The sequence below is a fragment of the Homo sapiens genome, chromosome 20 (assembly GCF_000001405.40).
Source record: "Homo sapiens chromosome 20, GRCh38.p14 Primary Assembly".
Taxonomy (NCBI): Eukaryota; Metazoa; Chordata; class Mammalia; order Primates; family Hominidae; genus Homo; species Homo sapiens.
The window spans coordinates 5,298,890-5,322,279 of record NC_000020.11 but is presented as its reverse complement, the minus strand read 5'-3'; the positions used below and the strand labels follow the sequence as shown (position 1 = coordinate 5,322,279).

The 23,390-nt window shown below is 46.5% G+C and overlaps 1 protein-coding gene across 2 annotated transcripts; it reads left to right on the top strand.

The window, feature by feature from the left end:
• PROKR2 (prokineticin receptor 2) lies at window positions 5,326–23,062 on the top strand. Of its 2 annotated transcripts, XM_017027646.2 has the most exons (4): window positions 5,326–5,786; window positions 7,903–8,368; window positions 19,544–22,424; window positions 22,849–23,062. In XM_017027646.2, the coding sequence occupies exons 2-3, from the start codon at window positions 7,911–7,913 to the stop codon at window positions 20,238–20,240; spliced, it is 1,155 nt and encodes a 384-aa protein (XP_016883135.1). In that variant the 5' UTR covers window positions 5,326–5,786; window positions 7,903–7,910; the 3' UTR covers window positions 20,241–22,424; window positions 22,849–23,062. The 2 variants fall into 2 exon arrangements, with proteins under 2 accessions (XP_016883135.1, NP_658986.1); NM_144773.4 differs by having other exon boundaries at window positions 19,544–23,062.
• The last annotated feature ends 328 nt before the right edge of the window (window positions 23,063–23,390 follow it).

The following is a 23,390-nucleotide window of genomic DNA, read 5'->3' as shown; positions in this document are numbered from 1 at the left end:
AAGACACCTCAGGGCACAAGCCAAAGTCACGTTTTTCAAAATATTCAAGTTAATTAACTCAGAGCTCTATGTTGCTCATAGTGAAAATGGCTTTCTCTCTCTCCTGACTCCTCCCATAATGAGCCCAAGCATACCCAAAGCCCGTTTTGTTTGCGTTGGAACTTATGTAGTAAAGTCCAGGTAACTGGGTCACCTCTCAGGGGCTGCATTGTGGAAAGCGGGCAAAGAGTTTGACTTTTTACTTTCCAAATGTCTACACTATGTGAATTTTTCCCACCTGAGTGTTCCCAAACGCCCCTGCCCCTGACCTCAGGCGAAGGAGGGGGTTCTCATCCTTTCCTGAGCTCAGGGCAAGACAGCATGTGAACACCTGGAGAGAGGGGCTTCAGCTGGAAGAGGACAAGCCAGAGAAGATGAGGCTTAACATAAACTGACACCCAAGTGCCTCCTTATAAAACTAAACCCTTTCTGGCCGGGCGCGGTGGCTCACACCTGTAATCCCAGCACTTTAGGAGGCTGCGGCAGGCGAATCACAAGGTCAGGAGATCGAGACCATCCTGGCTAACACGGTGAAACCCCATCTCTACTAAAAATACAAAAAATTAGCCGGGCGTGGTGGTAGGCGCCTGTAGTCCCAGCTACTCGGAAGGCTGAGAGGCAGGAGAATGGCGTGAACCTGGAGGCGGAGTTTGCAGTGAGCCGAGATCACAGCACTGCACTCCAGCCTGGACGACAGAGCGAGACTCCATCTCAAAAAAGAAAACAAAAAACAAACAAAAAAACCAAACCCTTTCTATAATCTACCAAACATGGATCTGAACTTGGAAGCCTCAGTCTTTCTTATTAGTTAAAGCACCGTCCTGTCCTTCATCTGCCCTGCCAGTGAACAAGGTCGTTTCCACGAAGGGATTTCATTAACCAAACTCGCCATCATAGAATCCAGTTTTGAATGCATCGAGGAGCTGCTTCTTGCAAGAACTTTGCTCTCTCAACCCACCTTCCTCCCACCACCGCCTCTCTCTGAGGGCTCGGAAAACTTCCTGAAACAGTTTTAACAGCAATTACAAATTTCTGACCAAAAGCTCTCTAGCTTTCATGTAAGCTTACCTTTTTCTTGGGTCTTTCTCCATAGACAGGGAGCATGGCTGGCGGGCACTGACCCTGATACCTTGTCTCAGTCTTGACTATCACCTTCCTCCCCTAGAGGCAGATGGAAGCCGAAGAGGGAAAAATACCTGGGCCAGGTGAGTCAGCAGGTGTATCCTACAGAGTCACTCTGCAGAACCCCATGAAAGCCAGCTGGATGGAAGGAAAGGTAGTGCCAGGGTCAATGCACCTTGAACCATTAATTAAGCTTCTCCTTTTCCACCTAGGATTCGTAGAGTTTAATTACATTTACTTTCAAAGTTAAAAAGTTTACCTAACGATATATCTGCAGTCAATAACAAGGGCACATTCTTGATTTGCTGATTAATTACTCCTGGAGAGACACACAGACACGCACAAAAATCACTTGAGGTCATTTTCTTGAGAATAGTGTTGTTTTCAATTTCTTGTTATCCTAAACAATACTACTATCAATATCCTTGTAGAGAAATCTTTACCTGCTTCATTCGTTATCTCCATAGAATAAAGTCATAAAAATAGAATTTCTGGATTAAAGATTAAGAGAGGTATATTTTTAAGACCTTTTTTTTTTTGAGACAGGATCTTACTCTGTTGCCCAGGCTGGAGTGCAGTGACACGATCATAGCTCATTGCAGCCTCAAACTTCTGGGCTCAAGTGATTCCACCTCTGCCTCCCAAGTAGTTGAGACCACAGGCATTTACCACCATGCCCAGCTAATTTAAAAAAAAATTTTGTGGAAACGGGGTCTCACTAGGTTGCCCAGGCTGGTCTCAAACTCCTGGCCCCAAACCATCTTTCCACCTTGGCCTCCTAAAGTGCTGGAATTACAAGCATGAGCCACTCTGCCTAGCCTCAAGGCTTTTTAATATGTATTGGAAAATCAAGCTCCAGAGAATCTGTATTCATTTCTTTACAATTAAGAAAGTTTACATATAAAACCTTTATAAACCTGAAGATCCATGTGGCTTTGTCTTAGAAAGGAGTCACTTTCAAGAAACATAAATCAAATGTCAAAAGTAATTTAGGGGCCAGGTGCTGTGATTCACACCTGTAATCTCAGCATTTTGGTAGGCTGAGGCAGGAAGATCGCTTGAGCCCAGGAGTTCAAGACCAGCCTGGGCAACATGGCAAGACTTCGTTTCTTGTTTTTGTTTTTGTTTTGTTTTGTTTTCTAAAAATTAAAAAAAAAAATGCTGGGCGTGGTTTTGGGCGCCTGTATTTCCAACTGTTAGGGAGGCCAAAGCTGAAAGACTGCTTGAGTCTGGAAAGTCCAGGATGCAGTGAGCCACAATCACACTAGGGCACTCCAGCCTAGGTGACAGAGAGAGACCCTGTTCCCAAAAAGTAAAAATAAAAATAAAAAAAAAATCTGGGGTCAAGCGCAGTGGCTCGAGACTGTAGTCTCAGCTACTCAGGAGCCTGAAGTGGGAGGATCACTTGAGCCTGAGAGTTTGAGGCTGCAGTGAGCTATGATTGTTCTATTGCACTCCAGCTTGGGTGACAGATTGACACCCTGTCTCTAAAAAATAAATAAGTAAATAAATAAATAGTAAAAGTAATTTAAAAGAAATTACCTGAAAATCAAATTTACCTGACACACCCTGAGTTCTCTGTCCCCTTTATACACACGCTGACACATATTCTGAGTAGTGCAGTGGGAGAGGGGATCCTAAATGTGGTTCCATCTGGCAATCTCAGGCTGACCCAACAATTCAACCCTCCCTTTTAGGGAGTATCTTTGAGAGATGTTATTCTGAGGCGGTGTTAACCCACTCCAATCTCCTGGATTTATACTAGTGGAGTGGCTGCCATGGAATAGGATTCGTGGGGGAAATAACAAAAAACATTCAGATTTAATGTTGTCGAAATATTATACCTGTTAAATTTTTATTATTCGTGTCTCTTGAGTGGATTCAAACATATAATCTTCTGGCTCTGTATCAAAGTATCCTTACCTCATCCATTTTCCTCACATCCAGTTGTTTGTAGATAATGCCTCCCCTGAGGCTCTGCAGCAACTCCTGCCTGCATGGATTTTCTTTCCTCCCCTTTCCCTTTTCCCCTCCCTCAGCACTTTATCATGTAGTTCAGCTAAGCCTCCCTCACCCAGAAAGACTTCAGACAGAAAACTCTTTCAGAGACAAGAAGAGACTTTGGACTTGCAATTAGAGAAATCTCTTTGACTAGAAGGGGAAGTCATCTCCATTTCCCCAGTTCTTGCCAGCTTTGTGAGCCCAAGTGGGGATGTAAGTTGCCTCCAAGTATATAATGCAAAGTCTCCAGCCCCTCTCAAAATCCCACTCAGCCCACCCAGTTTCTCTGGGTTCACACCCAGTTCAGTCTATGAACTCCAGCAGAAGTATGGCTCCTGCCCGCCTCATCAAAGGCAATGTCCCCTCTGCTGCCCTCCTGTAGCAGATGTGAGAGTGACGGCCTGCCCAGAATCTCCTCTGCTCACCTGCAGATGCAGTTCCAGGCACCATGACACCTCCCATCCAAGGCCTGAAGCTCTCTTCTTTTCAGCCTTGGGCTTTCTGCACCACACCGGGACACAACTCAAAAGTGAGGGAAATTCTGGCTCTCAGGGAATCTGTCCATCAGTAGGGGGTAGGAATCGATGGCTGAATGTCCAGCCTCCCCGCGCTGCTGTGAACAACCATGAGGCATGTTCTACACGGTCTGCAGGTCAACTGGAGTGAGCCGCAGTGGCACCCTGCTCGTTAGCATATCGTGTATGGGCCCTTCTCCCTTCCCTGCCTCACTTCCCCTCCCCCTGTGTGTGCTTCCCGGGATCTGCTCCCAATAAACTACCTGCACTCAGGTCTTTGTCTGGGAGTCTCCTTGGGGGAAACCTAAACTAAGACAACTCCCCGTAGCACTCTGTTGCACTGTTTTCTAAGCACCCACTGTCTCCCTGGGGACCACATGTCCATCCCCAGAAAAAGCTCCTACTCTGCTGAGGGTGGTCAGGACTTGGAGTTACTACAGCGACATCTGTGGGTCGCCAGATCTGTGTGGAAGCAACCATGCCTTAACTCATCTCAGAGGATTCCATGAAAGCACCAGCGGGCAGATGGTCCCAGGGGTCTGTTTGCCCCCATTGAATAGGGCAGGCATGGTCCATGAGCGAAGAAGCCTCTAGCTGAAGTTGGTAAGTATGCACTATTGCAAAGAATGTGTCCAGGGCGTACAACTGGCCACCCCATCATCTCCCCCACTCAAGCAACAGAGCTTTTTTGCCTCCATATCTGGAAGTTGCCCTGAGCATGTAGAACACCTGCCCAATCGCAGCCCCTCCCCAGGAGGAAAGCAAACAGCTGGCTCTCTTGCCTTTGATCATGCGGGAGAGATGCTAAGAGGTAGGGAGAGTGGGGTCAGGTTCCAGGTAAGGTGGGAAAAGCAGAATCACAGAATGTCACAACCTGAAGGAGTTTGAAGTTCATTTATCCAAAAATTTTTAATTGGCAGCCTTGTGGACTGTGTTCAGTCTGAGACAGGTTCTCTTTGACCAAAACAAGATTTTTGCTTTAACGAACCCAAAGACTATTTTTAAAGTTCTCGAATTCCAGATTCTCTTGAAAACAATGGGAAGCTCTGACAAAGTGGAGTCCATGTTCCCACCTGCCAATAATCCGCTGGCTGGGGTTTAACGATGGGGAACACCTTTTTAGACCTTCAGGGTCCTGCCACAGGTTCAATCCTGTATGCCCAGAGCTTCCTGGGCACCAGTCATTTGAATGGGCAGTTCCTGTGTTTAACCAGGAAGGTCGTGGGAGGATTTCGAACCTGTCAGAAGCAAAGTGAAGGGCTCCAGACTCTCCGGACAGATGGGCTGAGGCACTCCTGGGATTGTCTTTATACGGCCATGGAATCTGATAGTGGTGGTCATCGCAAAGTTTGGGTGAGGACTTCAGGGGCTTTGAGCAGAGCAAACTGTCCCCATCCCCAGCTTCCTCCTGGGGGCCTCCTCCTTCACCGCCATCTCCAAAGGCCCACACCGCACTCGTCGGAGCCGGGCTTTCCTTGAAAGGGTCACCTTCTAGTGGGCGCGGACGCTGGCACTGGGCACCTCCGGAAGACAGGACTCTCCCCTCCTGCGCGCGCGACCCGGGTGCGGTGCCACGACTGGCGGCAGAGGGCGGTGCTCACTGTTCCCAAGCGCACGGTAGAAACCCGGCTACTGTGTGGTCCGATTCAGACGGGATGCGAAGGCGCTGAAATCCGTGCGAGAGGCTGCCCCCGCTGCCGGGGACTCGCGTCAGCGCGGCCGGAGCTACGGTGCCCGCGCCCTGGACGCACCAGCCCGAGAGCACGCGGTGGGGTGGGGGAGCTGGGCATCCACCCTTGGCCTGGACTAGGAGGCAGGCGGGGACCCCGGGGCGGAGTCCAGCGCGGGGCGGGGCGCACAGGTCCGAGACGCTGGAAAGAGCTGTGGGGCCGGAGCGCCAACTCCAGCTGGAACCCAGAGACCCTGACACGCCGGAGGAGCCCGCCGGGGCGAGGAAAAAAGAGGGACATCCCCCACGCAGCGGCTCTGCAAGTGCAAGTCCGGGTCCTCGAGGTGAAAACCGAGCGGCCCGCCTGCGCCCAACCACACTGTGACTCTCGATCCGGCTTCCGGAGCAGCAGAGCGCACAGAAAGGAGGCGCCGAGACAGGTAAGGGCTTAGATCCCTGCAGTCCCGGGACTCAGTCGGTGCGGTGGGGGAGTCGCTAGGACAAGGGCCTCTGACGCCCACTTTTTTCTCGGGCATTCCGGCTGCTTTGCCTCCCGCCACTCTCGAGATATGCGTCGGGGCTGGCTCCAAGCAGGCGAGTTGGTTTCAGGAGATCCCCTCTGGGCCCTCTAGGACCGGGTAGGGTACGGTAAGCGGAGTCTGTGGTGTGCGGGCGCGGGCAGAGGGAGCCAGCGGGTAGCTGAGCTCGCGGACGAGCTCCAAATTGCAGGGGAGGGTGCAGGTAGAGGGGCACCTTCCTGAAAGGTGAGCAGGAAACAGCAAGCGTCCGTGGGGAAATTCCCGCGCACCGCATCCTCCACCCACCCGCCGTTTTCTTCCAGCCAGGAGGCACCGCAGCCTTTGCTTCTAGAGCCTGAATTTCTGACTTGATTCCTGTCTTTGCCAGGATGTCGCCTCTAGACGCCGACAGTGCGGCCGCGTTGATGGGGCGGGAAGGGGGCTGCTGGAACGGGTCGCTCCCGGGCGGGGAGTGCAATCTACGAAAATGCGGCTGGGACCTGTCCCAGCCCGGGCGCGCGCCCTCTTGTCTTGGGTTAGGGGGCTGGAAAGCCGAGGAGGGGTAGGACTCCCCATTCTTGGTCCCACGCTGAGCAGAGGCTGCGGGGATTGGGGTGTCGCATGAGACGGAGGGGCGACCTGGAGAGAAGACACCTCCGGGTGTGGACGCCACTGGGATTTGCATCTCGCCTCTTGGAGGTTTTCACCTTGGGAAAGCAGCTGGCGGGCGCACCCCAGGTTAGGGTGTCTTTTGCTGGCGCGCAGTTCCTGTCCCTCGGCGTTCTCCTCCCCTCGCAGGAGTGGACCAAATGCATTGTTCAGCTGGGTCATCTCCTTGCTACCCAGCATCCCGCGGCGCCCACATGTGGAGTCGTTTCCAGGTGTGCTGAGAGGCGAGGGGAAGGCCACTCACAGCTGGACAGCCAGGGCCCCTTTCTATAGGTGTTGGGATCTGGGCTCTTTTTCCAGCCCCTCGGTGAAGCCTTGTACCCTGGGGTGCCCTATCTCCTGCGGGCTGAGGGCTTCAGAGACTATTTTCCCTATTTTGAGACCTTGGTGACAGGACATGGTGCCTTTCAGGCAGGGTTGACTCTGGGTGGAGAACTAGGGCCAAGTGAAGGAGGTCAGAGAGCAGATCCAAAGTTGGAGTAGGGTGGGAAGGGCGGCAGAGGATTTCTTTCTGGAGCTGGTTCCCACAGAACGGGGAGCAGCAGGGGAATTCCCCTCCCCCACCCCACCACCACCTCCTCCACCTACAGCGCCCTGGTCATGCACTCAACAGATGTCTGTCTAGCCCCCACTATGCACCAGGCACTGGACTGGGCAGCAGGAATTTGGTTTACAGGAAGATTAGGACTCAGAGAGCATAAATCACTGGCCCAGGGTGACTCAGTCTGTCCATGTGAAAGTGAACTTGGTGATTTCCAAGTCTATGGCTTGGTCAGTACAGAAGGAGTGGTGTCCTGCTTTGGAGAGAAGACCCCGCAGCATCCTGGCCCTCCTGCTTCATTGTCCCTGGCCAACAGGTGCCACAACGTTGTGACAGCTGTAGGAGCCTGGCCAGCTCATGGGAGCATCCTTGGAAATGTTCCAGAAGCCCCTGTGGGAGCTGATGTGTTGGGGGCTGGAGGATGTGACTGGGCAGACAAAGAGGCCCTGGCCCCTGGGCAAAGGGCAAAGGTGCACATTCTTCTTGAGAGTTCTGGACAGTCTGATCCATCCTATGCTGTCCTTCCTGACAGCTGGGCAGCCACGGAGGGTTTCCCAACTTACAGATCTCAGGTCTCCTCTCCCCGCATCCCGGGTAGTTCCATCTGGTTAGGCAGTGGGTCTGGTTGGCCTATACTTGGGGAACTCAGGGAATGTGACCAGATGTTCTCCTGCATGTTGCCCACTGGTTGTGCCTCCTTCCAGGATCCAGGACGGTGAGTCAACTCTCCCCAAGGATGTGGGCAGGGTGCTAGGCTCACTGACCCTGAAAGAGCAGAAGGTCTGGACCCTCACCCCTCGCACCTCCCTCACACCACTTTTCTTGCAGACATCACCATGGCAGCCCAGAATGGAAACACCAGTTTCACACCCAACTTTAATCCACCCCAAGACCATGCCTCCTCCCTCTCCTTTAACTTCAGTTATGGTGATTATGACCTCCCTATGGATGAGGATGAGGACATGACCAAGACCCGGACCTTCTTCGCAGCCAAGATCGTCATTGGCATTGCACTGGCAGGCATCATGCTGGTCTGCGGCATCGGTAACTTTGTCTTTATCGCTGCCCTCACCCGCTATAAGAAGTTGCGCAACCTCACCAATCTGCTCATTGCCAACCTGGCCATCTCCGACTTCCTGGTGGCCATCATCTGCTGCCCCTTCGAGATGGACTACTACGTGGTACGGCAGCTCTCCTGGGAGCATGGCCACGTGCTCTGTGCCTCCGTCAACTACCTGCGCACCGTCTCCCTCTACGTCTCCACCAATGCCTTGCTGGCCATTGCCATTGACAGGTGAGGATGGTGGGTGGGGTGAGTGGTGGGGCTGGGCCAGGCTGTCTCTTTCCTCATTTAGGCTCTGACAGGCTGACATTGCTCCAGATAGGAATGCTCACCAATCTTTGGAGGGCAAGAGGAGGTCTTGTTTCTCCAGTTGAGTTCTGTTCCCCCAGATGTGAGCAAGACTGGGGCTGCTGAGTGGCCCATCTCTGGGCCATGCCCCCAGATACCACATGTGCTTCAGATACAGGCATGCCACATGACAGTATGTGGCACCAACACAAAGGGAAAGCAGAAAGGGCAGGCAGCTACTACCTAGAAGCCACATGAGAGTTAACTAGGGCAGCTTCCAGTCAGGAAAACATGTACTAGGCTTTTCCTGTAGCCACCCTCCAGGTGGAGATGTGAAACATTTCCATCAGCTAGAGAACCTTCTGTGCTCCTCACCAGTCAATCCTCCCCCACCAGGCAACCACCAATCTGATTTCTATCATTACAGTTCAGTTTCACCTGTTCTTTAATGTCATAAAAAAACATAACGTATGTGCTGTTGTTTCTGATAGACTTTGTTGCAGAGCTCATTTTAAAATAAGATAACAGGGTTTGTTTGTGCAAAAGAGGAAAGGACACGCTTGCTTTTGCTTTTCTGCATATGTTGGTGTGCTCATTTGCATACATTTGCATGAGATATTTCCAGAAGTCCTTGCTCTATTTTATTTTTTCCTTTCCTTTATGTATTTATTATTTTATTTTTTGCTTTTATTATTTTTAATTGACACATAATAATTGTAAATACTTAATGGCATACAGAGTGATATTTCTATGCATGTATGTATACAATGTGTAATGATCAACCAAGGTAATTAGCATATCCATCACCTCAAATGTTTATCATTTCTTTGTGTTGGAAACATTCAAAATCCACTCTTCTGGCTATTTGGAAATTATATAATAAATTGTGGTAATTATATTCACCCTATAGACCTGTAGAACACTAGAACTTATTCCTCGTCACCAGCCCTTGCTCTATTTTAAATTTATAAAGTAAAATGTATAATAGCAGTTTATGACAAATCTTACACACATTTTGTTTATGTGAACAGTTGCAGGCCAGCATCGGGCCATCACTGGCTCTGTTCGAGGGGGCAGTGGTCACCTTCTCTTGGTTGCTGTCCACCATTGTAAGCTGTGCTCATTAGGATGATCTGCTTAGTCATCTTTTTTCCTTTCATCTTTTCAACTCTTAAATTTTTCCCCTGTTCTCAGTGCTGCTTAGATTTTTTCTCTTTATTCAGCCAGTTTAATATTTTTCATTTTAGTAATAAAATACACAGACGGGTGTAGGAAGCATCCTCCTTCCTTTGTATAACATAATTTCTGCAGGAAAAACGATTTTGCTACAACTCAGGCTCACCAGCCCTGAAACCATCCCTTATGAAATGTGTACCTATCAACCAACTGCACACAATTCTCCAGGGAAAATGGTGCAAAGTATCATTTGATGGAAAGACACAAAGTCAGCCCGGGTGCGGTGGCTCACGTCTGTAATCCCAGCACTTTGGGAGGCTGAGACGGGCAGATCACCTGAGGTCAGGAATTTGAGACCAGCCTGGCCAGCATGGTGAAACCCCTTCTCTACTAAAAATACAAAAATTAGTTGGGCGTGGTGGCGGGTGCCTGTAATCCCAGCTACTTGGGAGGCTGAGGCAGGAGAATCACTTGAACCTGGGAGGCGGAGGTTGCCGTGAGCCAAGACTGCACCATTGCACTCCAGCCTGGGTAACAAGAGCGAAACTCTGTCTCAAAAGATACAAAGTCAGATTCCTGGGCTCCACCCCACCCTCTTGAGTGGGAATCCCTTGGGCAAGGTCCCAGGAATCTGCATTTTTATCTAATTCCTTGAGTGATTCTGATGCTCACTAAAGTGAGAGTATATTAGTCAGGGTTCTCTAGAGGGACAGAACTAATGGAATATAAATATATATAAAAGGAAGTTTAGTAAGTATTAACTCACATGATCACAAGATCCCACAATAGGCCATATGCAGGCTGAGAAGAAAGGAGAGCCAGTCCGAGTTCCAAAACTGAAGAACTTGAAGTCCAATGTTTGAGGGCAGGAAGCATCCAGCATGGGAGAAAGATGTAGCCTGGGAGGCTAGGTCAGTCTCTCTTTTCACATTTTTCTGCCTGCTTATATTCTAGCCAAGCTGGCGGCTGATTAGATTATGCCCACCCAGATTAAGGGCAGGTCTGCCTTTCCCAGCCCACTGACTCAAATGTTAATCTCCTTTGGCAATGCCCTCACAGACACACCCAGGATCAATACTTTGTATCCTTCAATCCAATCAAGTTGACAATCAATATTAACCGTCACAGAAAGTAAGCACTGTTCCCATTCCCCTTGTCCCACTGAAACCTTTGTCTTTATAATGCTGGTTTGGTTTGGTTTCATTTTTTGTAGCACTGGAGTTTCTTGGGAAGCAATCACCTTGTTACAACACCACAGACAACAGAGTGGGTCCTTTTCCACCCCAAACCAACTCTGCCCCAACCAGCTTCCCAGCTCCATCAGCAGTTCCATCATTCTCTCAGCCGTCCAAGCAGGGAAAAGTTACCATCATCCTTACCCTTTCTCCCTATCCTGCCTCCACTCACCCCACCCCATGTGTTCAGCAATACACCAAGTCATGGCAGCTCTCCTTCCAGCTTTATCTCTTAGCAAGTCATAGCTGGGCCATCATAATGCTCTTCTAACCTGTCTTTTCACTCCCCGGGGGCTCCTGACTGTCCCCTGAAATCCATACTCATCCATATTAAGCATAGGAATATCATCATTGATGGATCTTCCTGAAACATTTCATTGCTTACAAAATATCTAGAAATTCAAGTGCTTACGGAATACATGTCAAATCCTGAGCCTAGCATTCCAGGGCGCTTGTAATCTGATATCAATCTTTAATTTGCTGTCTTTCTAAATTCATGCTATGTATGGAGATACTGATAGTATTTTCCAGAAGACAATGTGTTTTAAGCACAATAACGATGTTTTCTATCTTTCTCCACAGTGCCTAGCACAGGGACTTATATCTGAGTCTTAGCTTGGGTTACTCCCAAATCAGACTCTGAGACTAAGATTTATGTGCAGGTAACACCCAAGAAGTAATTAAGCAAGCTTTCACTGTGGCAACTAGAGCATATTCCTGCTGAGGGACTAGTGGAGCCAGCATAGATCACAGCTCTACAGAGAGTTCTTCCAGAGGTGGGAGGTCATTGATGAGGGCTGCTCTGGAAATGCTGTACAGGTGGCAGGTGGTAGGATAGGGAGAAAGAGTAAGGATCCTCTTCTCTGATCAGGTTCTAAACTAATTGAAAAAAATAAAGCAAAATGCTAAGAAAGATGGATGGCCAAACTCTCACCTTTGCCCCAATTATGCTGATTTTGGAGAAGGGAGCTTTTATCACTGGGCACAGTCAATCCCAGAATTAGATAGGCTTGTGTTCCCTAACACATGTAGGGTGGGAGAAGCACAGTCCTCCCTGTCCTACTACAGAGAAATATCAGAAGGGCCACCCAATGCTGTTTCCATGTGCCACAGCCAGGTCCATCCAGAGAGAAGCCCAGAGGAGGTACTATTTCAAGTCATAGAGACCCTAGAAGGAAAGGATTGGCCCAAAGAAACACATCCAAGCAGACAGATGAAAACAAAGACCTTGCCGGTGTCCCTCTTGCAAATGAATGAGTCATAGGAAATGATTAGCTTAAACAATGTGCAATAGCTTTCAACATCCCTTATGTATGTTTACCTTCTCAGAACATGACAAAAAGCCTTAGAGGTTGTCAGTGATCTTATTAATTATCCCCACTTCACAGATGAAGAAACTGAGTCCCCCAACCAAAAGTGATTTATCCAAGTACACAGTTTGAGTCCAGGTACACAGCTGGAATCCAGGTCTTCTGAATAACTCCTAGGCCAGTGTTATTGCTTTCTGATTTATTTGATGACAACTCTGAATTTTGGAACATCATACAATGAGAAAGATGTTATTGGAGGAAAAAGAATGAGAATTTAAGAATTGACAACAGAATAAGGAGAAATGTGGAAATTCCCTTTGGCATGGGTTATTGAAATACTTTTTATGGTGGAACCAGATTGAGAGAGAGCTATAAAGTTGTGAATTTGTTCTGCATTATCTAAGCCCTTTGGATTCAGTATGGGAGGCAGAATAATGTCCCTCACCCAAGGATAACCACATCCTAATCCCCAGGATCTATAAACACATTACATTACATGCCAAAGGGGAATTGAGGTAGCAGATGGAATTAAGGTTGCTAATCAGCTGATCTTAAAATATAGAAATTATACTGGATTATCTGGGTGGACCCAATGAAATCACAAAGATCTTTAACTGTGAAAGAGGGAGGCCAAAGAGTTTGTGTCAGTGATACAATGCAAGAAACTCGATTGACCCTTGCTGGCTTTGGAAAGGGAAAAAGTCATCAGCCCTGGAATGCTGGCATCCCTAGAAAAGGCAACAAAAATAGATTCTCCCCATCAGCACCTCCAGAAAGAAATGCTGCCTTGCCAACATCTTGATTTTAGCACAGTGAAAACCATGTCAAACTTCTGACCTCCAAAACCGTAACATAATACATTTGGGTTGTTTCAAGCCACTATGTTTGCGGTAATTTGTTACAAGCAGCAATAGGAGACTAATTCACTCAGTCATCATGAAGAGTCAGTGACTGTGAGATGTCCCTGCCCCCAACAAGAATGAGCCTGCCCATTTGTTCCACTCTCCAGCCCTGTGAGCCTTGTACCATGCAGGCAGGTCATGCAGGTTAATTTGGCAAGGTCAGGTCACATGCATGGCTGAAGAACCCCAGCAACCACTGTGCATATTAATATACCTAGCTAGGGTGCAGCCAGCGGTTGGGGTAGGATCCAGCTTCATCCTAGATCTTCAGAAAGTCAAAAGCTGGGGAGAGCCATGCTGCTTTGGTATCTCCTCTAATGCAATTCAATGATCAGAGCCACTGGCAGGCAGGGGGCAGGCAAGAGAAGATAAAACAACTTTGTGGCAGAAATATTGACAGGGACAGGAAGAAATAACATGACAGAAGGCCTTCTTAGTCCAGTCAGAGACTTGGAAAGAGTGACTGAAGGGTCTGGTCACAAAGGAAAGGTAAGTGGGATAGAATTTTCTATAGGCAGCTGCTGAGACCAGCTCGGTCGGGGAGACCCTACCCCAGCAGCGCTAGAGGAATTAAAGACACACACACAGAAATATAGAGGTGTGAAGTGGGAAATCAGGGGTTTCACAGCCTTCAGAGCTGAGAGCCCCGAACAGAGATTTACCCATGTATTTATTAACAACAAGCCAGTCATTAGCATTGTTTCTATAGATATTAGATTTAAAGTAGCCCTTATGGGAAATGAAGGGATGGGCCGAAATGAAGGGATGGGCCGAAATAAAGGGATGGGTTGGGCTAGTTATCTGCAGCAGGAGCATGTCCTTAAGGCACAGATCACTCATGCTATTGTTTGTGGTTTAAGAACGCCTTTAAGCGGTTTTCTGCCCTGGGCGGGCCAGGTGTTCCTTGCCCTCATTCTGGTAAACCCACAACCTTCCAGCGTGGGCATTATGGCCATTATGAACATGTCATGGTGCTGCAGAGATTTTGTTTATGGCCAGTTTGGGGGCCAGTTTATGGCCAGGTTTTGAGGGGGGGGGGCCTGTTCCCAACATGTCCCCCTTATTTGATTTGCAAATCGATAAAAGCAAAGGCAGCTTTGTCACAGTGAGCTACTTCTCACAGGAGTCAGGATCCACATCTGCAGACTATACAAAGACAAACAGCACAGATTAAAAGCACAATCATTGAAATCACAGAGCTTCCAAGTGTTTTTATCCATTTTAATGGGTTACTAGCTGCTAACCTGTCTGCAGCTCCTTTAAGCACTCCAGTTCCTGGCATTAAGGTCAGGTGTGGGATGCTTTAAATATTTGTTCTTTAATTTTGCAATATCCAAAGACAAGTTTGTAGAGTGTCTTTCTAGATGCTTTTTTATTATTTCCCAAATTTTGATCTTATTAAGAGCTATTAATAGTTTCCACAAATCTTTATGTTTAGCTTCTACAGCAGGCCATATTATTTGAGGTTGAGGTGCCACTATACCACCAAGGTTCCAGATAATAGGAACTCTTGCCATACTTCTTGCCATTTCTACCATCTGACCATTTTGTTCAGACCAGCTGAACATAGTGTGGCCATGGCACGCAGACTGAGAGGTGCAATTCAAGCTAAACATCCCCTAAGGGGACCAATCAATAATGATTCCATAGGATTCGTTGCGCAGCACCTCTGCCCGTTCTGCAATGCAATCTTCCTAAACAAGTATGTTCATTATTTCTGGCCAGGTTCTATTTTGTTTACAAGTAGTTTTTTGAGGGTGGTATGCCTCAATTATAGGAGCAGATTTATTACGGTAAATACTGAGATCAGAAAGCATGTGTAACTGCATCATAGAGTGATTATATCCAGGCATTATTGCCAGCCAAGATTGATAAATATGCCCAAGAAGTATAATTGTTCTCTGTGTCAGCCGTTGTTGAAGGAATACTCATGGCAATGGTGATCACCGCTATCATAGCTACCATTAAATTACTCATTGTAACTGGTTGTCCTGCTTTCCTCAGGTTTTCTTCCACCATCTATGACAGCTTCTTGATCTGTCCCCAGGTGGGTGGCTGTGTTCAACGGGTGTTGCTTGTGACAGTTGGGGTCCTCCTCAGCATCAGTCTCGACATGACTGCAAATGGGGGGTCCTCGGGATCCTCCTGGAATCTCTTCCTCAGCATCTGGCTCATGATAAGGTTTCAGGTGTCTTGATGGTATCCAAATTGGCTGTTGATTTTGGCCTGGAGAAACACAAGCATAACCTCTACCCCAAGTTATTATTTTACCTATTTCCCAACTTTTTGTTATTGGATCTCTCCACCAAATCAGTTATTCTGCTTTTGTCTTTGCAGCTGGTTTCTGTAGGTGCTGTTCAGCTGCTGATAACATCTGGCCTTTGGGCAGGCTCAAAAAATGTAAAGTTAATAATGCTAGATTCAGTTGTGTATGGGCTGTCCTGTAATCCCTATTTCTCCCCCTTTTTTGTTTTTGTCATCAGTTGTTTATCTCTATGAAACAGTAACTGAGCATTTTTAATTAACGGTGTGGAATGAACCATGTATGAAGAATCAGAAATCACATTAATAGGCATATCAAAAGCAGTCAATACCTCAATTACAGCTACAAGCTCCGCTTTTTGAGCTGAAGTATAGGGCGTCTGGAAAACTTTACTTTTCGAGCCAGAATAAGAAGCTTTACCATTACTAAACCCATCTATAAAACAATGAAAACACTTAACAGGCTGCAGGTTGTTTACTGCAGGAATTGTAAATGCAAACCATTCACAGTCTTGCTCAGCTAAAGGGATAGTAAAGAAACAGTCTTTTAAATCTATGACTATCAAAGGCCAATTTTTGGGGATTATAGCAGGAGAAAGCAATCCTGGCTGTAATGCTCCCATAGGTTGTGTAACTGAATTGATGGCTCTTAAATCAGTTAACATTCTCCATTTACCTGATTTTTTTCTTAATTACAAAAACTGGAGAATTCCAATGGGAAAATGTTGGAGCTATGTGCCCATTTTCTAATTGTTCAGTAACTAATTTCTCTAAAACCTCCAGTTTCTTTTTACTTAGTGGCCATTGTTCTATTCAAATTGGTTTATCTGTTAACCATTTTAAAGGTATAGGTTCTGGAGGCTTAACATTGGCCGCCATCAAAAATGTTATCCTAGTCTTTGGTGGGAACTTTGTCTTTCCAATTAAGTGGTTCTTTCAAATCTTGCAAATTTTTTCCTAGTCTCATACCAGGGACATACCCCATTTCATGCATCATATGTTGATTCTGAGGGCTATATAATTGTTCTGGAATTAGAACTTGTTGTAATAAATCTCTCCCCCATAAATTTATAGGTACAGAAGTTATAATTGGTTGAATAGTCCCAGGTTGTCCATTGGGCCCTTCACAATGCAAAATATAACTACTTTTATATACTTCAGGGGCTTTACCAACTCTAACTATGTTAAATTGAGTGGGTTGAATTGGCCATGCAGACAGCCAGTGCTGTAGAGAAATGATTGAAATATCCGCTCCTGTACCTACCAAACCTTTAAATTTTTTTTTCCTGAATAGTTATTTCACAGGTAGGACGTTTATCAGTAATTTGATTTACCCAATAAGCTGCTTTGCCTTGTTTATTTGTGCTTCCAAATCCTCCTGTTCATTTAATTTCACTTTTCCCCATTTCCACATACGGCACAATCAGGAGCTGTGCCAGACGCTCTCCTGGCTCTGCTTTGCAGGGAACAGAAGCAGATATAACCATTTGAATTTCCCTATTGTAATCTGAATCAACGACTCCTGTATGTATTTGTACCCCTTTTAAATTTAAGCTAGACCTTCCTAGAAGTAATCCTATCGTCCCCGCTGGCAAGGGTCCACAGACTCCTGTTGGGACCTTTTGCGGGGGTTCCCCAGGCAGAAGACTCACAGCTTTTGTGCAGCATAAATCTACTGCAGCACTACCAGCTGTGTCAGGGGACAGACATTGTACAGGGGTCAGGGAATGGCCTGAGCTGGAAATGCCCCAGTTTAGAATGGGGCCCGGGACGGGCCGCTCATGGTGTTTTCCGAAATCAGGTTCCCATCTTTCTCAAACTTAGAGTGAACTGATTAGCCCAATGTTTTCCTTTTTTACATTTTGGACATATTTTGGGCTCAGCAGTTTTCTTTTTTCCCCTATCTGGTGGCCTGACTCACTGATTTTTTCTACATTCTTTTTTAGTATGACCATGCTTCCCACAGTTAAAACAAACTCCAGGAAATAGAGTATTTCCTTTATCCACTCTCAGTCCTGCCACTGCCTGTGCTAGCAGAGTAGCCTTATGCAGATTACCTCCGATACCATCACAGGCCTTGATATAATCAACTAAATGTGCTTTCCCTCTGATAGGTCGCAGAGCAGCCTGGCAATCGGGATTAGCATTGTCGAAAGCTAATAACTGCAACACTCTATCCTGAACAGCCGAATCTGCAATCATCTTTTTAAGAGACTACTGTAACTGAGCTATAAAATCCACGTATGGTTCTTTTGGTCCCTGTTTTATAGCACTAAAGGAAGGGTATTGTTCTCCACATGAAGTGATTTTTCCCCAAGCTCTAATGCACACTCCTCTAAGCTGTTCTATGGCATCATCCTGCATGACCACTTGTGCATCTAAACCAGCCCAGTCGCCAACCCCCAAAAGTTGGTCTGCAGTTATATTAATTTGAGGATGGGCCTGGGCATTGCAAGCAGCCTGAATGGAAGCTTCATCTGCCCACCAAGTTTTAAATTGTAAGAACTGAGCAGGAGTTAGACGAGCTCGAGTAAGAGCATCTCAGTCAGTAGGAATTCATCATCCGACTGGAAAGAGCAGCATTCTTTAACAGTCCCACTACAAAAGGAGAACCTGGTCCATACTGATTTATAGCTTGTTTAAATTATTTGAGTAATTTAAAAGGAAAAGGCTCAAATGTAGCTATAATATTTCCCTGTTGATCTGGGGCGGTGTATTCTAACAGGGAACTGCCAAGCCTCTAAATCACCCTCTCATCTAGGTTGCTGAATTCCTGCCTGAATAGAACTAAGAGCAGTCGCTTGAAGTGCTGCTCGAATAGTCACTGGGGCAACTACTTTTCACCCAGTGTCCTCCAGAAAAGAAAGATCTGGAGGGTCTTTTTCTTCAAAATAATAAGGAGGGGGTGCAGAAGAGTAGGGATGAACCTCTCCCTCCTTTGCCGCTTTAGCTTTAGCTGGCAAATAAACCTGCTCTGTAACCTCTTCTGTTACTTCGTTATACTCTCCTTCCTCCTCATCATCAGTGTGAAAAAGTTCCAAGGTGGAACGAACCAGAGCCCACACTTGTCCCATTGTTACGCTGACGCCAGTTTATGGCCAGGTTTTGGGGGGCCTGTTTACCAGCAGGCGGCATCCTGCTCTTGTTCTCACCTGACTCAAGCTCCAGGTATGAAGTACACGTTCATTTCCAGGGTTGATTTGTTTCCTCCCTGTCCTTCATGCCTCTTATCTTCATCTACCATATCCCAAAGCATTCCTCCCCTACCCCCTACCCCAACCATAAGATGCATAGAAATGATGCCAGGGCACCAGGTGTCTAAATAGGTGTCATTAGGTCTCTCTGGAAAGAAAGTATTCAATCCACACAAATGAGCTCATTTCCCACAAAGGGCTCCAATCTGTCTCCAAGACAGTGTGGCTCATTGGAAAGGGCAAGGATAAAGACTTCACACACCTTCTCATTTGAGCACAAGATGGCCCAGGGAGGTGGGAGCATAAGCTTTGTATCAAGAGCCTGGATTCTGGTCCCTGCATGATGTGAGCTTGGGCAAGGCATTTACTTTTCATTAGAGTCCTTAGATTTCACTACAAGCTTACCTTGACTCTCCTGCCTCTGAAATGCAGGATGACAGCTCATGGGAGGGGAAGCAAATTCTTGCCAACTGCCCTGAGAAAGGCTCCCACCTCTGTCTGGGGGCCATAAGCCCTTCCTTCACCTAAACCGTGAGCTATTTGGAATGAAGAGCTCTGAGAGTATTGTATGTTCTTGGGCAGAATGACAAGATGGAAACCCAAGGTGGTATAATAGGATGCTTAAGAATAATAACAGGACACAAGTATTTATTGAACGCCTACTATACACAAAGCATTTTACAAAAATTGCCATATTTAGTGTTCACAGTAGCCCTGCAAAGTAAGTATCATCTTATTCCAGGTTGCATTTGAGGAAATAAATCTCAGGGAGATTGAATAATTCATCTCAGACCCCAAAGCCAATCCAGGGAAAACCCAGGATTTATTCAGCCTGTTTGACCCAAAGCCTGTGCTGTTTTCACTAAAACACTTCACTATGCCAAATGATGTTGCTAAAATAAGATGAAGCTTGTTAAAGCTGGATAACAAGTACATGAGGATTCACTGTGCCACTGCTTTAGTGTATGTTTGGGGTTAGTTACAAACTAACGTTTCCACGTATTCATCATTACTACTGTTGGCTTCCCTCCCCCACCAGATATCTCGCCATCGTTCACCCCTTGAAACCACGGATGAATTATCAAACGGCCTCCTTCCTGATCGCCTTGGTCTGGATGGTGTCCATTCTCATTGCCATCCCATCGGCTTACTTTGCAACAGAAACGGTCCTCTTTATTGTCAAGAGCCAGGAGAAGATCTTCTGTGGCCAGATCTGGCCTGTGGATCAGCAGCTCTACTACAAGTCCTACTTCCTCTTCATCTTTGGTGTCGAGTTCGTGGGCCCTGTGGTCACCATGACCCTGTGCTATGCCAGGATCTCCCGGGAGCTCTGGTTCAAGGCAGTCCCTGGGTTCCAGACGGAGCAGATTCGCAAGCGGCTGCGCTGCCGCAGGAAGACGGTCCTGGTGCTCATGTGCATTCTCACGGCCTATGTGCTGTGCTGGGCACCCTTCTACGGTTTCACCATCGTTCGTGACTTCTTCCCCACTGTGTTCGTGAAGGAAAAGCACTACCTCACTGCCTTCTACGTGGTCGAGTGCATCGCCATGAGCAACAGCATGATCAACACCGTGTGCTTCGTGACGGTCAAGAACAACACCATGAAGTACTTCAAGAAGATGATGCTGCTGCACTGGCGTCCCTCCCAGCGGGGGAGCAAGTCCAGTGCTGACCTTGACCTCAGAACCAACGGGGTGCCCACCACAGAAGAGGTGGACTGTATCAGGCTGAAGTGACCCACTGGTGTCACACAATTGAAAACCCCAGTCCAGTACTCAGAGCATCACCCACCATCAACCAAGTTCATAGGCTGCATGGGAAATGACATCTGTGTTCATGCCTCCCCCGTGCCCTCAAGAAGCTGAATGCTGCAAAGTCGTAACATACAATGAGACTAGACATGAACCAAATCAGCTGACATTTACTGATATCCGCTCGACACCTACTGTGTCCACAATCCCAACAAGGAGATTAGACACAAGGAGCAGCAACTGACATGGACTGAACATGTACTGTGTGCAAACCACACCAATGAGATTAGACAGGGACAGCAGGAGCTGACATTTACTCTTCACCTACTGTAATAAAAAACACTTGATTTGATTACAATCAAAAACATATAAAAAACATAACAAAGTAGCAGAAGCTATTGGAGTTTCCAAGCTATCTCCAGATATATAGATAGTTCACCCTCCATCTTCCCTAATTCTGTATCTTACCAGTGCAGGAATATCAAAAGGCTATAGGCCAGGCATGATGGCTCATGCCTGTAATCCCAGCACTTGGGGAGGCTGAGGCACGTGGAACACTTGAGGTCAGGAGTTCAACCCAGGCTGGCCAACATGGTGAAACCCTGTCTCTACTAAAAATACAAAATTAGCTAGGCGTGGTGGCGGGCGCCTGTAATCCCAGTTACTCAGGAGGCTGAAGCAGGAGAATAGCTTGAACCTGGGAGTTGGAGTTTGCAGTGAGCTGAGATTGCTCCACTGCACTCCAGCCTGAGTGACAGAGTGAGACTCTGTCTCAGGAAAAAAACAAACAAACAAACAACAAAACAACAACAACAACAACCAACGGCTATAGAAGAAGACTCTTAGACACAATGGAAATGTAACGATAAGTTTGTCAGTGCGTGGTTTACAGCATCATGGGAGGTGTGTTACAGCCATCATACTGAACTTTCCCACCCACCTCCTACTGCCTCCCAGGGCATTCTCTAGGATTTTGGCTTCAAGAAAAAAAAAATTCTTATAGTCAGCCCAGCCTTATGTGGTTATCCACAATGGTGTAATTTCAAAGGAAAGAACCTAAAAATCACTTTCCCACTGATGCTTGAAAGCTTATCATTTTATTTGGGTGGAGATGGGTAATCCTGAGGTGTCAATTTTTGCCTCCTCAGTGCAAAGGATTTCAGTGGCTCTGGGGTCAGGGGGAAAGAGGACAGAGAAAAAAGTGGAGGTTGCCACTGGCAATGAACATAATCTCTGTGGGCATTTTGCTAAGGACTGGACCACTTTCTAGAACACTCCCTCTTTTACAAAAGGAACTCTACCTAGAATCCAAAGACCTGGGTTCAGGTCCTAACTCTAAGACTCAAGTCCTAAATTCATGATGTTTTCTCTCTGTGTCTCAGTTTTGCTTTAATGAAATGGCGATGATGAAAATATCCGCTCTTCATACCTTGCAAGACTGTTGGGAGAGCCCATTGAGGCCATGGTTTGTGAATGTGCTTTTCAACTGTGCACACGATAAGAATGGAGAAGTGATATTGAACAGTTTATTTGGAGGGAGTTTATTTGGAAACCCCATCCACTGTGATTTATTAGAGAAATACCCACACTTTTTCATCCCTGTTCTTTGGATGAAAGACTCCTGAAGACTTCACAGTGTACCTTGTCTACAGTGGGCCAAAAAGGGATCCCTGTTCTTGGTTATAATCTGGGAAATTTAACCTCAGATTCTCAGTGACCCCAAGACTCTCAGCATCCCTGCGGTCTTAGAAGTGTTGACAGTCCTCCCTGCATGTTGCAAAATAGCACCCTAGTGCTGCATAAATATCACTTCTGAATCTGTTTGTATTATACATTTGTGGTAACTGTAGGTACACGTCTTCATTTCTTCTTGATTCATTTTGATGTGGTAGCTATGCAAATGGTACCTGGTTTGGGACTGACCCAACCATATTTGACCAATTCCTAATTTTTTATAGACAAGGAATTAATTGTTTGCTTGTTTGATTGTTTCTATTATTTGTTGATTTGTTTCTCTGACTGAAGTTTCAACCAATATTTCTTTCTATCACCACCCAGCAGACTCACCTTCAGCCCAATCATTGTACTCTCAGAAAATGCAGGCCGGCATGGTGGCTCACATCTGTAATCCCAGCACTTCGGGAGGCCAAGATGGGCAGATCACCTGAGGTCAGGAGTTCAAGACCAGCCTGGCCAACATGGCCAAAAACCCCATCTCTAGAAAAATACAGAAATTAGCTGGCGTGGTGGCACATGCCTGTGGTCCCAGCTCCTCAGGAGGCTGAGGCATGAGAATTGCTTGAACCCCAGAGGCAGAGGTTGCAGTGAATTGAGATCACACCACTGCACTCCAGCCTGGGTGATAGAGCAAGATTCCATCTCAAAAGGAAAATAAAAGAAAATGCAAACACACTATAATATTAGCCTAAGCAAAACTGTTAATTCTGATTTACAAAAATTCTTACTTGCTTGGCTTTGAAATGCATTGTGTAATAATGCATTTCAAAGCCAAGCAAGTAACAATTTTAGGTTATGTACATTTCTATAAATATAATAATTGTATTTTTATTTATTATTCTATCCTGGCTCTTAGCCGAATCAGGAGATTCTTTAGGAATGGACCATGTACCAGTCAAGTCTGTCAGCAGGATTCATCACCCTGTTCCTTTTTGTCCTAGAATATACCAACTTCCTTTCATTGAAATTTAACTGAAAAAACTTTTGTAAATATCAGTGTGTATTTGTGATTTTCCAGTGATTAAAGTGTAATGTTGTTATCCAATTAAATAATTAACATGTGGAATTTAGTCACAGGTTTCAAGTGCTTTCTCTGCTGATCTTTTAAGCATGTTAGTATATTTAGATATGAGTGAAGTAATAGCTACCTAAACAGTCCCACCTTGAAACAGAGAAGGAACTTATTGAAGGCATTTTTAGAACAGTGGTAGCTCATAGCATCAATCAGCCTCCTCTCGGTTATGTCCTTCAAGCTAATGGCCCCGGAGTGTATTCATGCATGCAAATAAGCAAGGAATCACGGTCCTGGACTGATGCGATGCCTTCATTCTAAAACAGTCTTGTTTGTTCCAATGAAAGCTGCTGATTGCACCGTGACTATTCATCCCTCCAACTGGT

Excerpts from the sequence above, each read along its gene's own strand:
- PROKR2 (XM_017027646.2), top strand. The coding sequence starts at position 7,911 with ATGGCAGCCCAGAATGGAAACACCAGTTTCACACCCAACTTTAATCCA. Across the intron at positions 8,369-19,543 it reads CTGGCCATTGCCATTGACAG|ATATCTCGCCATCGTTCACC; the intron begins GTGAGGATGGTG and ends CTCCCCCACCAG.